This window comes from Homo sapiens, chromosome 6 (genome assembly GCF_000001405.40).
Source record: "Homo sapiens chromosome 6, GRCh38.p14 Primary Assembly".
Lineage (NCBI taxonomy): Eukaryota > Metazoa > Chordata > Mammalia > Primates > Hominidae > Homo > Homo sapiens.
Window position 1 is genome coordinate 86,670,057 of NC_000006.12, and position 14,037 is coordinate 86,684,093.

The 14,037-nt window shown below is 45.1% G+C and overlaps 2 annotated features.

Annotated features, from left to right (window-relative positions):
- Positions 343–866: an enhancer, noted in NCBI's record as "H3K27ac-H3K4me1 hESC enhancer chr6:87380117-87380640 (GRCh37/hg19 assembly coordinates)". NCBI's record gives its function as "activates a minimal SCP1, AML or CMV promoter by ChIP-STARR-seq in naive H9 embryonic stem cells {active_cell/tissue: H9 hESC(naive)}" and the evidence as "EXISTENCE:reporter gene assay evidence [ECO:0000049][PMID:30033119]".
- Positions 13,475–13,769: an enhancer, noted in NCBI's record as "tiled region #4618; K562 Activating DNase matched - State 5:Enh". NCBI's record gives its function as "activates a minimal TATA promoter and a strong SV40 promoter by Sharpr-MPRA in K562 cells {active_cell/tissue: K562}" and the evidence as "EXISTENCE:reporter gene assay evidence [ECO:0000049][PMID:27701403]".

Sequence of the window (14,037 nt, forward strand, 5' to 3'; positions counted from 1 at the left end):
CTCCATCAGCTCCTTTAAGCACTTCTCTGTATTGGTTATTCTAGTTATACATTCTCCTAAATTTTTTTCAAAGTTTTCAACTTCTTTGCCTTTGGTTTGAATGTCCTCCCATAGCTCAGAGTAATTTGATCATCTGAAGCCTTCTTCTCTCAGCTCGTCAAAGTCATTCTCCATCCAGCTTTGTTCCGTTGCTGGTGAGGAACTGCGTTCCTTTGGAGGAGGAGAGGTGCTCTGCTTTTTAGAGTTTCCAGTTTTTCTGTTTTGGTTTTTCCCCATCTTTGTGGTTTTATCTACTTTTGGTCTTTGATGATCGTGATGTACAGATGGGTTTTTGGTGTGGATGTCCTTTGTGTTTGTTAGTTTTCCTTCTAACAGAGAGGACCCTCAGCTGCAGGTCTGTTGGAGTACCCTGCCATGTGAGGTGTCAGTGTGCCCCTTCTGGTGGATGTCTCCCAGTTAGGCTGCTTAGGGGTCAGGGGTCAGAGACCCACTTGAGGAGGCAGTCTGCCCATTCTCAGATCTCCAGCTGCATGCTGGGAGAACCACTGCTCTCTTCAAGGCTGTCAGACAGCGACATTTAAGTCTGCAGAGGTTACTGCTGTCTTTTTGTTTGTCTGTGCCCTGCCCCCAGAGGTGGAGCCTACAGAGGCAGGCAGGCCTTCTTGAGCTGTGGTGGTCTCCACCCAGTTCGAGCATCCAGGCTGCCTTGTTTACCTAATCAAGCCTGGGCAATGGTGGGCGCCCCTCCCCCAGCCTCGCTGCCGCCTTGCAGTTTGATCTCAGACTGCTGTGCTAGCAATCAGCGAGACTCCGTGGGCATAGGACCCTCGGAGCCAGGTGCGGGATATAATCTCGTGGTGCACCGTTTTTAAAGCCCGTCGGAAAAGTGCAGTATTCGGGTGGGAGTGACCCGATTTTCCAGGTGCCGTCTGTCACCCCTTTCTTTGACTCAGAAAGGGAACTCCCTGACCCCTTGCACTTCCCAAGTGAGGCAATGCCTTGCCCTGCTTCGGCTCGCACATGGTGCGTGCACCCACTGACCTGCGCCCACTGTCTGGCACTCCCTAGTGAGATGAACCCAGTACCTCCGATGGAAATGCAGAAATCACCTGTCTTCTGCGTCGCTCATGCTGGGAGCTGTAGACTGGAGCTGTTCCTATTCGGCCACTTGGCTCCTCCCCCTATTCTTAGGTCTTGTTGTTTAACATAATCCCAAACTTTTTTGAGGCTTTGCTCATTTTTTTAAAATTTTTTAATTGTTTCTCTTTGTCAGATAGCATTAATGCAAAAGCTTGTCTTCTAGCTCTGAAGTTCTTTCTTCTACTTGTTTGATTCTATTTCTAAGACTTTCCATTGTATTTTGCATTTCTCTAAGTGTGTCCTTCATTTTTAGAAGTTGTGATTGTTTTTTATTTATGCTATCTATTTCTCTGGAGATTTTTCCATCTATATCCTGTATCTTCTTTTTTTTTAATTTCTTTAAGTTGTTATTTGTCTTTCTCTGGTGCCTCCTTGAGTAGCTTAATAATCAACCTTTTGCATTCTTTTTCTGGCAATTCAGAGAATTCTTCTTGGTTTGGATCTATTACTGGTGAGCTACTGTGATTTTGGGGGAGTGGTAAAGAGTCATGTTTTGTCATATTGTGTCTGGAATTGGTTCTTTCTGGTGGGTTCTTTGTCTCACCGACTTCAAGAATGAAGCCACAGACCCTTGCAGTGAGTGTTACAGTTCTTAAAGATGGTGTATCCAGAGTTTATTCCTTCAGATGTTCAGATTTGTCCAGAGTTTCTTTCTTCTCGTGGGTTCATGGTCTTGCTGACTTCAGGAGTGAAGCTGCAGACCTTTGCAGTGAGTGTTACAGCTCTTAAAGATGGCACATCCAGAGTTGTTTGTTCCTCCTGGTGGGTGCATGGTCTCACTGACTTCAGGAGTGGAGCTGCAGACCTTCGCAGTGAGTGTTACAGCTCTTAAAGTTGGCGCATCTGGAGTTGTTTGTTCCTCTTGGTGGGTTCGTGGTCTTGCTGACTTCAGGAGTGAAGCTGCAGACCTTTGCAGTGTGTGTTACAGCTCATAAAGGTAGTGTGGACCCAAAGAGTGAGCAGCAGCAAGATTTATTGCAAAGAGCAAGAGAACAAACCTTCCACAGCTTGGAAGGGGACCCAAGTGGGTTGCCGCTGCTGGCTTGGGTGGCCAGCTTTTATTCCCTTATTTGGCCCCGCCCACATCCTGCTGATTGGTCCATTTTACAAAGTGCTGATTCGTCCGTTTTTACAGAGTGCTAATTGGTGCGTTTACAAACCTTTAGCTAGACACAGAGTGCTGATTGGTGCGTTTTTACAGCATGCTGATTGGTGCGTTTACAAACATTTAGCTAGACACAGAGCACTGATTGGTGTGTATACAATCCTTTAGCTAGACAGAAACGTTCTCCAAGTCCCCACCTCACCCAGAAGCCCAGCCAGCTTCATCTCTTAATCTCCCCTCTAAACAGGACACCCCAAATGCTGTTGGGAATTGGGTGATGACCACTCTAGCTACTTCCTGCTGGATAGAGGCAAAGAAAGGGCCTTGCAGTTGTAGTGTCCTCAAGAGGGGAACACTTTAGGCCAGTGAAAGGGCCAGCTGGTTAGTCCAGAGGTCCTCAGTAGAAGTTGTTAGTTGAGCTCATTTGGGTTTCCATTTGTAAGACCATCTGTAGCTTGATGGCCTTGATCCTAGAGGAAACAAATTTGACAAGGAGGTTAAAAATGGCCTGAAGGCGAGTAATAACAAAATGGCTGCCACAGGACCTAGAAAGGGAAGAAGCCATGTTGCCCAACTCTAGAGGTTGGTATAAGAGTTTGAAAGTCATTGTCTGATTTCAGAAGCCTTTTCCTGTAAACACCAGGCAGCATCTCGTACTATCCCTGACTGGTTAGTGTAAAAACAACACTTTCCCCTAAGAAGGTGCAGAGTCCTCCTTTCTCAGCAGTGAGGAGGTCTAGGCCTCAGTGGTTTTGGAGAGTCGCTGCTGCCAAAGAGTCTATTTGGGATTGTAGAGTAAGGATAGCTTTCGTTATTTCTTGCAAACTGTCTGAGAAATACTTTGAGTGTGTGTGGTAGTAGGATAATGAAGTAGATAAACTGGCTATTCCAGTTCCTGTAGCAGTAGCCATTCTTAACCCTATAAGTAGGGGTATTCGTTGTATGGCTCTGCACTGACAGACTTGGGCTTTGAGGGGTACTGATAGGGTCTGATTTCCTGGGGGAAATGTTAATGTTGGGACTTAGAAAGACTAAGGTGCAGGTGCCTTTCCAGTTAGTGCGGAGGCAGATATACATCGATGATCCACATAAGAAGAATATACTTCTCTGGGTAGACAGAACTGGTTATTTTTGTTAAAAAGATGTGTGAGTTTGTTGTTTTCATTTTCCCATACTCCTAGAGTATTTGCAAAGGTAGCTCCAGTGAATGGCTGGAAAGGGGTGTTGGGAGCAAACTGAGTGGCTACCTATATTCTATTTTCCTATTGGAGAAAAAACCATTTCATACCTACTAGGAACCATTCGAGAGTGTGATTGAAAGAGGGGATGAGAAGGCATTCACTAGTGGTGGGGGCACTTCTGTAGGATGTCCAGGGGTGAATGGTCATACAGGGAGTATGTTTGCCATTACAAAACCTGGACTGTTTGTTAAGCAGGGAGGAGTTGATGATTTTGGGGGGCCCTGAGAATCAGACAAGCCATCTGAATGGAATTGTTTGGGTGACTCGGAAGTTCCTATGATCAGTTGGGACTTGAAGTTGTAGGGTGATATTACACTGATGGGGTAGTAGGTGCCCCAGGGGCAGGCCTGATAATAGGTTGTGTTGGATGCATAAAGGGGCTTGGAAAATTAGGATGGTACTCATAGTTATAGGGCCATGTATGGGCTTTTCATTGCTTGTGTAATAGGTGAGGTTGGAAATGTAAGAACGTAAAAGTTGGAATGCACGTCCTGTTAGGGTACTCTTGGTCCTATCAGAGATGGGGAAGTCAGCTAATGATTGCATATTTAGAAGTCAGAAAGGGTCTTTTCCTTCATAATGAGGGTGGTAGGTTAAGTTGGTAAAAACCCAATTTTTTTGCGGGAATGGGAGTGGCAACATAAGCAGAAGTTGATAGAGAGATACAAAGCCAACAGCAATTTGCCAGGGAAGGATTGGACTGGTTTAACAGAGAGTGGGTTAAGTTGAGAGTCTTGTAGAGGTAATTAGGAGCTAGTGGAAGGGGAGGGGTGATTGTATGAGATATCCAAGGAAGCAGCAGGGATAGATAGGCAAAGAGTAAATAGGAAGGTAAAGAGGGTGCTCTGGAAGATGAGATCATCTTATCCAGTCTGAGTTAAAGGTAGAAGTAAATCGCTGTCAGAAGGAAGGAATATAGAAAGAAGGTTGATGTGATTTGGATTTTCATCCCAGCAGGAGCTACTTACTGTATATAGTCCTATTGCAAAGGGTATGGTTAGTATACTACTTAACAATATGATGAAATAGTAAAAGAATTCCATTAAAGGGGCAAGGAGAGGTGTTAAAGATAAAGATTATATAGGTTTTCACTTATCTTTTTTAAGGAGGAAGGAGTTTTTCTTCAGGATCAGTGGTAGGAGCCTTTTTAGTCTGGGATGTTTCCTTCTGAAATAGGAGATGCAAGTCCTCCAACAGTTCACAGGTGTATCGAGGCTGGTCTGGCTGATCTTGGGACTCCTGAGCTGACAGTCCCACAGGTTCCTCAGGGGGTGTCCAAAATTTATATTGGATGTGGTAAATCCAAGATTCCACTCCTGCCACCTTAACTGCAGTGGGAGTAGAGAGGATTACCGAGTATGGTCCTTACCACAAAGAGTCCATAGATGGGGAGGTAGAAGGGAGAGATTTGACCAACACTAGATCTCCTGGTTGAAACAACTCTGTTCCCTTTTCTCTATGACATCCTTCAGGTAGGTTTTTAAGGTTTTCTTGATATTTTGCCAAAGAAGTTATATCTTTGACCAAGTTGGCCATTTCATGATCAAGTAGGAGGTCATTTGTGAGAAAAGGTCATTCGTACAGCATTTCATATGGACTGGGCCCTATTTTGTGAGGAGAATTTCAGATTCTTAGTAAGGCCACAGGCAAGAGAGTAGGCCATGGGAGATGAGTTTCTTGTGTTAATTTCCTTAGGTGCCTCTTGAGTGTTTCATTTGCCTTCTTGACATTCCCTGAGGATTGTGGCCTCCAGGCGCAGTGAAGATGATATTGTATCCCTAATGCCCTGGAAATTCCCTGAGTTATTGTGGCTTTAAAAGCTGGACCATTGTCACTCTATAAGCTTTGGGGAAGCCCAAATCTAGGAATTATTTCATGAATTAGGACTTAGTCAGTTCCTGAGCCTTCTCTGTCTTGCAGGGGAAAGCTTCTATCCAATTTGCAAAGGTACAAACAAAGACCAACAAGTATTGAAATCCCTTTGACTTAGGCATAGGTCCTCTCCAGGATAGTGACCTATTCTTTGTTCCCCCAAAGGGGCCTTATGATGGACCAAGCGATTATTCCTTTGGCACACCTCACAGGCTTTGACTACCTGTCAGATGATCTGGAGGACATTTGGCCCTGTAAATAGGGATTTGGCCATATGATGAGTGTTTTCAATACCCATATGAAAAGTTTGGTAGAGGGTTTTAAGTATTTTCCACTGGCTGGTTTTGGGTATAAGTACCTTTCCTTCTTCTGTCCTTAACCACCCCAAGGGGAGAAAACTATGCCCCTGTGAAACTCCCTATTCTGTTTCAGTCAGGGAATACTGGGGCTTAATCTCTTGGAGGGGGTTGTTCCATACCAACAGTCCTTCTGCAGGTATTTCTAATGGGAGATTCTGCCTGGCAGCAATTTCGGCCTCAGCATCTGCCTGACAGATTCCTTCTGCATTTTCTCCTTCACCTTTCTGATGGCTTTGTCAGGGTAAGACTGCCACCTCCTTGGGTTTTTGCACTGTGTGCAATAACTCCATAATTTCCTGTGGTATCTAATGGGGGTTACCCCAGAGGTTAGGAACTCCCTTTCTTTCCATATTGCAGCATGGCATGTAGGATTAGATAAGCCTACTTGCTATCTGTATACACATTTATTCTTTTTCCCTTTCCCATTTAATCTTTTTCTCTTTCACTGTTCTAAGGCTTGGGTAAGTGCCCCTAGTTCTGCTAACTGGGCACTGGTCCCTGGGGGAAGAGGCTTACTTTCACGTACGGTTACATCACTAACTATGGCATAACCTGCCCTTCAATATCCAATTCTCCACAAATGAACTTCCATCGGTATATAAGTTAAGGTCTGGATTAGCTAAGGGGACTTCTAAAAGATCATCTCAGGAAGTATAAGTCTGGACTATAATTTGTTGGCAGTCATGCTCGATTGATTCCCCATCCTCTGAAAGAAAAGTGGCAGGGTGGATGGCCATGCATGTATGTATTTAAGCAACAGTCTCTCAAGGAGTAGTGCCTGGTATCTAAGTAGGTGGTTGTCTGATAGCCATAAACTTCCTTTGGCACCTAATATGCCATTTACATCATGAGTAGTCCAGACAGTGAGATCCTTTCCTTGTATTATTTTGATAGCCTCTGACACTAAGAAGGCCACAACCAAAACTACCCTTAAACAGTGAGGCCAGCCTTTTGCTACTACATCATTTTCCTTATTTAGGTATGCCACTGGTTGTGGGGTTGTCCCACGAGTCTGGGTAAGTACTCCAAGAGCTATCCCTGCTCTCTCTGTAATGTATAAAGAGAAGTTTTGTCCTGTTGGGAGGCTTAAAGCTGGAGCCTGTACTAGGGCCTGCTTTAAGGTTTTGAAGGCTGTTCCCACCCCTGGTTCCCATTCTACTAGATGAGTATTTGCCCTCTGGGTCTCCTTGATTAGAGTATAGAGGGGCCTGCCTATCGCACTGTATCCAGGGATCCATAGTCGGCAAAAGCCAGTGATTCCAAGGAATGCCCGCAACTGTTTTAATGTCTTAGGGTGAGGATAAGCCAGGATAGGCTGTATTCATTCCTTGCTGAGGGCCCTGGTCCCTCTGGCTAAGATTAGGCCTAGATATTTGACCTGCTGTAGGCAAAGCTGGGCCTTCAACTTAGACACCTTGTACTCTTGATTAGCTATAAAGTTCAAGAGATCCAGAGTAGCCTGCTGGCATGAGGCTTCCAAACTGGTAGCCAAAAGTAAATCATCCACATACTGAAGGACCAGAGTACCTGGACTTGAGAAGTGGCCTAGATCTTGGGCCAGTGCCTGACCAAACAGATGAGGGCTATCCCTAAACCCTTGGGGCAAGACCATCCATGTAAGTTGGGACATGTGGTCTGTGGGATCCTCAAAGGCAAAGAGAAACTGGGAGTCAGAGTGCAGGGGAATATAGAAGAAGGCATCCTTGAGGCCCAGAACAGTGAACCATTCTGCTTCCTCTGGTATTTGAGAGAGCAGGGTATAGGGGTTGGGTACAACTAGATATAGAGGAATTACTGCCTCATTGATGAGTCTAAGATCTTGCACTAGTCTCCACTGACCGCTCAGTTTTGGACTCCTAGAATTGGGGTGTTGCAGGGACTGCTGCATTTCCTTACTAAGCTTTGAGCTTTTAAATGTTTAACAATATCTTGTAATCCTTTATGAGCTTCAGGCCTTAAGGGATATTGCCTTTGATAAGGAAAAGTGGTGGGATCTTTTAGCATGATTTGGACTGGCTGGGCAGTTTTTTCCCTTCCAAATTGTCCTTCCAATGCCCAGACTTCAGTGTTGATTCCCTCCTCAAGTAGGGGACAACAAATGGGTAACTTGTTCCCCATATTCGTGTAAATAATAGCTCCACCTTTGGCTAATATATCCCTCCCTAATAAGGGTGTGGGACTTTCAGGCATAATAAGAAAGGCATGTGAAAAGAGCAAAGTCTCCCAATTACAACTGAGGAGGTGGGAGAAATACCTGGTTACAGGCTGTCCCAGCATTCCTCGGATGGTAACAGACCTTGATGACAGTCGTCCAGGACAGGAGATTAACACTGAGAAGGCTGCACCAGTGTCCAGGAGGAAGTCAATTTCCTGGCCCTCAATGGTTAAGCATAGCCAGGGCTCAGTGAGGGTGATGACATGAGCTGGCGCTTGCCCTGGACACCCTCAGTCCTGTTGTTGGATCATCTCATTGGGGGTTTCCAGCCGAGAGAACCATTGAACTCTGGGGCAGTGTGCCTTCCAGTGATTGCCTCGGTAGAGCAGACATGGACAAGTGGGCAGCTTGTTTCTCATTGGACAATCTTTTTTAAAGTGTCCTTGTAAATCTCACTGATAACAAGCCCTACCAGGTGATTGGCCTGCTCCATTTTCTGTCCTCTCTGAGCTACCCAGGTTTGTTTGTCTGAGGGCCATGACTAAGGCTGCAGCCTTTCTCTGATCTTGCTTTTCATTGGGCCTGTTCCTCTTGGTCCCTATTATAGAATACTGAGGTTGCCAGGTTTAATAATGCCTCTAGATTTTGTTCAGGGCCCAGGGCTCACTTTTGGGGCTTTCTCCTGATATCTGTGGCTGATTGGGTAATAAACTTATCTTTTAGGATCAACTGGCCCTCCAGTGAGTCAGGTGACAGGAGAGTATATTTTCTTAAGGCCTCCCGTAGCGGCTCGAGGAAGGCAGAAGTATTTTCTTCCTTTCCCTGAGTTATGGTGGACATCATTGAATAATTCATGGGCTTTTCCTAATTCTCCTTAGTCCTTCTAGAACACAGGTCAACAGATGTTCATGACTCTAGTCCCCATGATCTGAGTCAAGGTCCCAGTGGGGATCCATACTGGGGATGGCTTGCTGATAGTTAGGGAATTTGTCCCTTTCTTCAGCTGTCATTCTATCATTTACTTGACTAAGATACCAGGTATCTCCAAACCCTCAGGCTGCAGCTAAAGCCACATTCTTCTCATTAAAGGTCAGGGTTTGATCTAACAATAGCATGACATCTCTCCAAGTGAGATTGAAGGTTTCCCCTAGACCCTGTGGAACATCTATGTACCTATCAGGATCATCTGAAAACTTCCCCAGGTCTGCCTTGATCTGCTTTAAATCAGAGAGGGAGAAGGGGACATGTACCCGGGTTGGGCCAAATTCCCCTCCCCCTACAGCTTGAAGGGGACATAAAAGATAGCCTGTGGGTTTTTGTGGTCCTTTGGAGATTTCTTTTCTTGTTTCCTTCTGGGCACGGGAGATTAGAGGAGGCTTATCATTAATAGGAAGGAGAGCTATAGGGAGGCTAGGATATGGGGGTAAGCTGAGAGGTCCTCCTGTGGGATGTAAATTGTAAGCTTTGCATAGTTGTGGATTCTCCCTCAATGAAAAGAAAGCTTGGACTTAAGGTATTTCATTCCATTTGCCTTCCCCCTTACAGAAAAGGTGAAGCTGCAAGATAGTATTGTAATTTATACTTCTCTCAGGTGGCCATTTTTCCCCATCAGAGAGAGAATATTGGGCCAAGCCATAGTGCAGAAAAAAATGAACTGCCTCTTTTTCAAGGTTTGCAGGTCAAATTGGTTGCAGTGGCTTAGGATGCATTTCAAGGGTGAGTCTGTTGATGCCTGAGTGTTTCCTATCTGAAAGATAAAACTGCCCACAGTTTTGGTTTGTTTTTTTCTCCCCCTGCCCAAGAACCTGTAATGGTCCCTGGACCCTGCTGATCAGAATAGTTGTGCTCACTGATGCAGCAGCAGAAACACCTCTTGCCCAAGAACCCACAACAGTCCCTGGGCCCTACTGATCAGAATAGTTGCACTCATCGATGCAGCAGCAGAAAAACTAATTTTGCTCCTAGACCACAAGGAGGACCGAGGAATGTCAGATTAGTAGCCCTTATTGGTGCATTCTCAAATACCTGTTAGAGTCCTAAGCATTGTCCTGTTAGCACTGGGACTTTACCACTGTCCTATAAAGATGTTATGCCCCAAAAATGAAGTGGAGGGCCATACTCTGAGGGAGGGAAGGGATCTCCAGAGTTGGAAGAGTGATGCCTTTTGTCCTCACTTATGTGGAGGATATCATTTCTGAGGCTCTCCATATCCTAGTTTCAGGAATAGCTTTTGTTAGGCCTGCTTGTCTGAGGAGGGATCCTAAAATTCCAGATAGTCCCCCACCCCAATGGGGCTTTGGGCAAAAATTATGTCTTTCTGATTGGTGAGCCCAGGTGCCTAAAGAAGGTAACAGAGTCCTGAAGTTTATACTAGAAATCATTCTTACAGGAGAAACTAGAAAAGCACCAGAGACAGGGAGTGGTTTTTAGAAGCAGGACTAGCCTCGGAGAAGAGAGGCGAGAGGAAGTTTGTCTGACAGGCATTAGAACCCAGGAGGCAAGGGTCAGGATAGATAGGATAGATGGGCAAGTCTCGCTTGGGCAACCTGTTTTTGAGAGTTCCATTCATGGCTGCAGGATCAACCAACTTGTTGTCGGGACCCCAGAGCTGAATGGCTTTCCTCTCTGTCAATGCTTGGTTCAGCCCAGAAGTACAGGAAAACTGGAAGCTGGTTCCAGGCAAACCAACACTCCTAACTCTGTAAAGTCGGGGGTTGTTAGAGAGCCCTTTCCCAGGAAGCCTGACACCCAACGGCCGCACTAGTCACTTTACACTGGCCAACAGGTTCCTGGTATTTAGCCCCCGAATTCTAAGGAAAAATAGGACAGAATAGCAAGCAAAAGGGGTCTGATGGTACTCACCACTTGGTGATTGTCCCATCTGGGTTGCCAAAATGTGTCCGGAATTGGTTCCTTCTGGTGGGTTCTTGGTCTTGCTGACTTCAAGAATGAAGCCTCAGACCCTCACAGTGAGTATTACAGTTCTTAAAGATGGTGTGTCCGGAGTTCCTTCCTTCAAATGTTCAGATGTCTCCAGAGTTTCTTGCTCCTAGTGGGTTCATGGTCTCACTGACTTCTGGAGTGAGGCCGCAGACCTTTGCAGTGAGTGTTACAGCTCTTAAAGGTAGCACATCCAGAGTTTTTCATTCCTCCCAATGGGTTTGTGATCTCACTGACTTCAGGAGTGAAGCTGCAGACCTTCACAGTGAGTGTTACAGCTCATAAAGGTAGTGAGGACCTAAAGAGTGAGCAGCAGCAAGATTTATTGTGAAGAGCAAAAGAACAAAGCTTCCACAGCATGGAAGGGGACCCGAGAGAGTTGCTGCTGCTGGCTCAGGTGGCCAGCTTTTATTTCCTTATTAGGCCCCACCCACATCCTGCTGATTGGTCCATTTTACAGAGCACTGATTGGTCCATTTTACAGAGTGCTGATTGGTGCATTTACAAATCTTTAGCTAGACACAGAGTGCTGATTGGTGCATTTTTACAGAGTGCTGATTGGTGTGTTTACAAACTTTTAGCTAGACACAGAGTGCCAACTGGTGTGTTTACAATCCTTTAGCTAGACAGAAAAGTTCTCCAAGTCTCCACCCAACCCAGAAGCCCAGCTGGCTTCATCTCTATATTACCAGAATTGTTTTTCTGGTTTCTTCTCATTTGGGTAGACTATGTCAGAGGGAAGATTTGGGGCTCAAGGGCTGTTGTTCAGATTCTTTTATCCCATAGGGTGCTCCTTTGATGTAGTGCTCTTCACCTTCCCCTAGGTATGGGGCTTCCTGAGAGACAGACTGCAGTGATTGATATTTCTGTTCTGGGTCTAGCCACCCAGTGGAGTTACCAGGCTCCAGGATGGTACTGGGGAGTGTCTTCAGAGAGTCCTGTGATATGATCCATCTTCAGGTCTCTCAGCCATGAATACCAGCACCTGCTCTGATGGAGGTAGCAGGGGAGTGGACTCTGTGAGGGTCTTTGGTTGTAGTTTTGTTTAGTGCACTGGTTTTTTGTTGGTTGGCCTCTAGCCAGTAGGTGGCACTTTCAAAAGAACATCAGCTGTGGTATTATAGGGAGGATACAAGCTTATCCTAGGGTTGCCTGGATAAGTATTTGGGTTTCTCAAGGAGTGAGCAGGAATGTAGAACTCCCAAGAGATATGTCCTTTGTCTTTAGCTACCAAGGTGGGTAGAGAAAGACTATTGGGTGAGGCAGGGTTAAGCATGTCTGAGCTCAGATTCTCCCTGGGTGAGGCTTGCTGCAGCTGCTGTGGGAGATGGGGGTGTGATTCTCAGGCTGATGGAGTTATGTTCTTTGTTTCTGTTCTTTATAAATTATCCAGTCTGTGTTATTTTGTTATCACGGCACAAATGAACTGAGATCAGAGGCATCATACCGGTCACCAGGGAAGTGGGGGAAAGCCAGCAGTGACAGGTCTCACCCAGCTCCCAGTTAGCCTGAAAGGCCAGTCTCACTCCCACCATGTCCCCACAACAGCACCAAGTTTATTTCCAGGCAGTAGATGAGCAGGGCTGAGAACTTGCCCCAGAGCCTCACCACTGAGAAAGCAAGCAGGGCTTTCAGAGTTTGTGCCTCCCCACCTGCTGTGGTTTCTGTGCCAATATCTGCACTCTCTGTTCACTCCTCCCCCAGATTCTGTCCAGGATACTTAGCATGTGGTGGAAATTGTTACCAAGTTCAGCTGTAAGTTCCATTCTCCCTGTGGTCTTTCCCTGGTTCCACTGGCAGCCTTCCCCACAGACCCCTGCAAAACAAAGTTAGGAATGGCTTTCCTGAGGACAGAAGAGTGCTCACAGGGCTCTTCCTGCCGCTTCCTCTATCTCTATATTTTGGTCAGCTCTCTAAAGTTGTCTCAGCTCCACATAAGCTCAGATTCTTCTCCCATGATCTGGGCTTTCAGTTTCCCCAGTGAGGATGTGTGTTTGGAGGCAAAGGTTTCCCCTCTCACACTTTAGGCACTCAGTTTTTTGGCTGTCTCACTGAAAAGCAAGCTGCTTCCCTTCAAAGGGTCTCTGTGTTCTTTTGGCTTTCCTGGTATGTTCTTCCATAGTTCTTGGAGCAAAAGTTCATGATGTGGGCCTCCACATACTCCTCTGTGTGTCTGAGTGGAAGCTGCAAGTTAGCTCTGCCTCCTATCCACCAATTTTTTTGTAATTTGCTTTTAAATATTCAGTTTAGACAATGTGATTTATGTGTTTATCAGTTGGTTTTAACTTGCATCATAGAGGTGTTTAGTTGCCCCAGTTAGACATATTCTCTGAGAATGTTATTGACAAATCTATTCACCCAAAAGATGGGTTCTTTTCTGTTCTTTGCCACAACGCTGATAAGCAAAACTGAAAGTGAGTGTCAAGCAGTACAGGCTTTTATTTGATGACCATAGAATTGAGAAGTGGGAGTGTGGCTCACAAATCAACCATTCAACTTGTAAGAGCTTGGAAGCCACAGATATAGGGCATATTTAAGAAAAGAATTGGGCATTGAGAGCAAGGGGAGGAATATTCATATCTTTTCTTGGAATGAATGGAGAACTTCTCAGAACTGGTGTGTCACCTTCCTTTTTGTCCCTTTATGGTTTCTTCCAATCATTGTCATGGTGATTGTTAACTGTCATGGCACTGCTGAGAGTGTCATTTAACATGGAAATTAGATTATAATTAATTTTGAAGTTCTTCAAAGGTCAAATGAGCTGCCATCTTGGATTCCCCCATGAGCTTCAGCTGGTTTAATTATGAGGGGTATCTTCTGATGGCAGGCCTCCTGTTTCTTAAAGATAAGCAGAGAAGCAGAGTTAAGGCAGGGCAGAAATTCAGCTAAGTCATGAAGGCATTACACTGGGTAACAAAGGGAGGTCAGCTAACATATATTGAAAAGGCCACATACCAGAGGCAGCTACTTCAAGTATTTTATCTAATTTTTAAAACTCTGATTAAAAATGTTTTGTCAATTAGTACAATAGATGTTAGACATTTTTTATTATATTGATGAAATTAGTGCTGTTAAGATCTGTTGCTTGACTAAAATTATTGTAAAGAAATGTCTTGCCTTTATATGAATATGATATGAATAGCAAGTTCAATAATCTGAATCCTAGGGCCTTATGCTTGGCCCCAAAATAATAGTGGACTAGAAAGTTAATTGTTCTAATTTAAT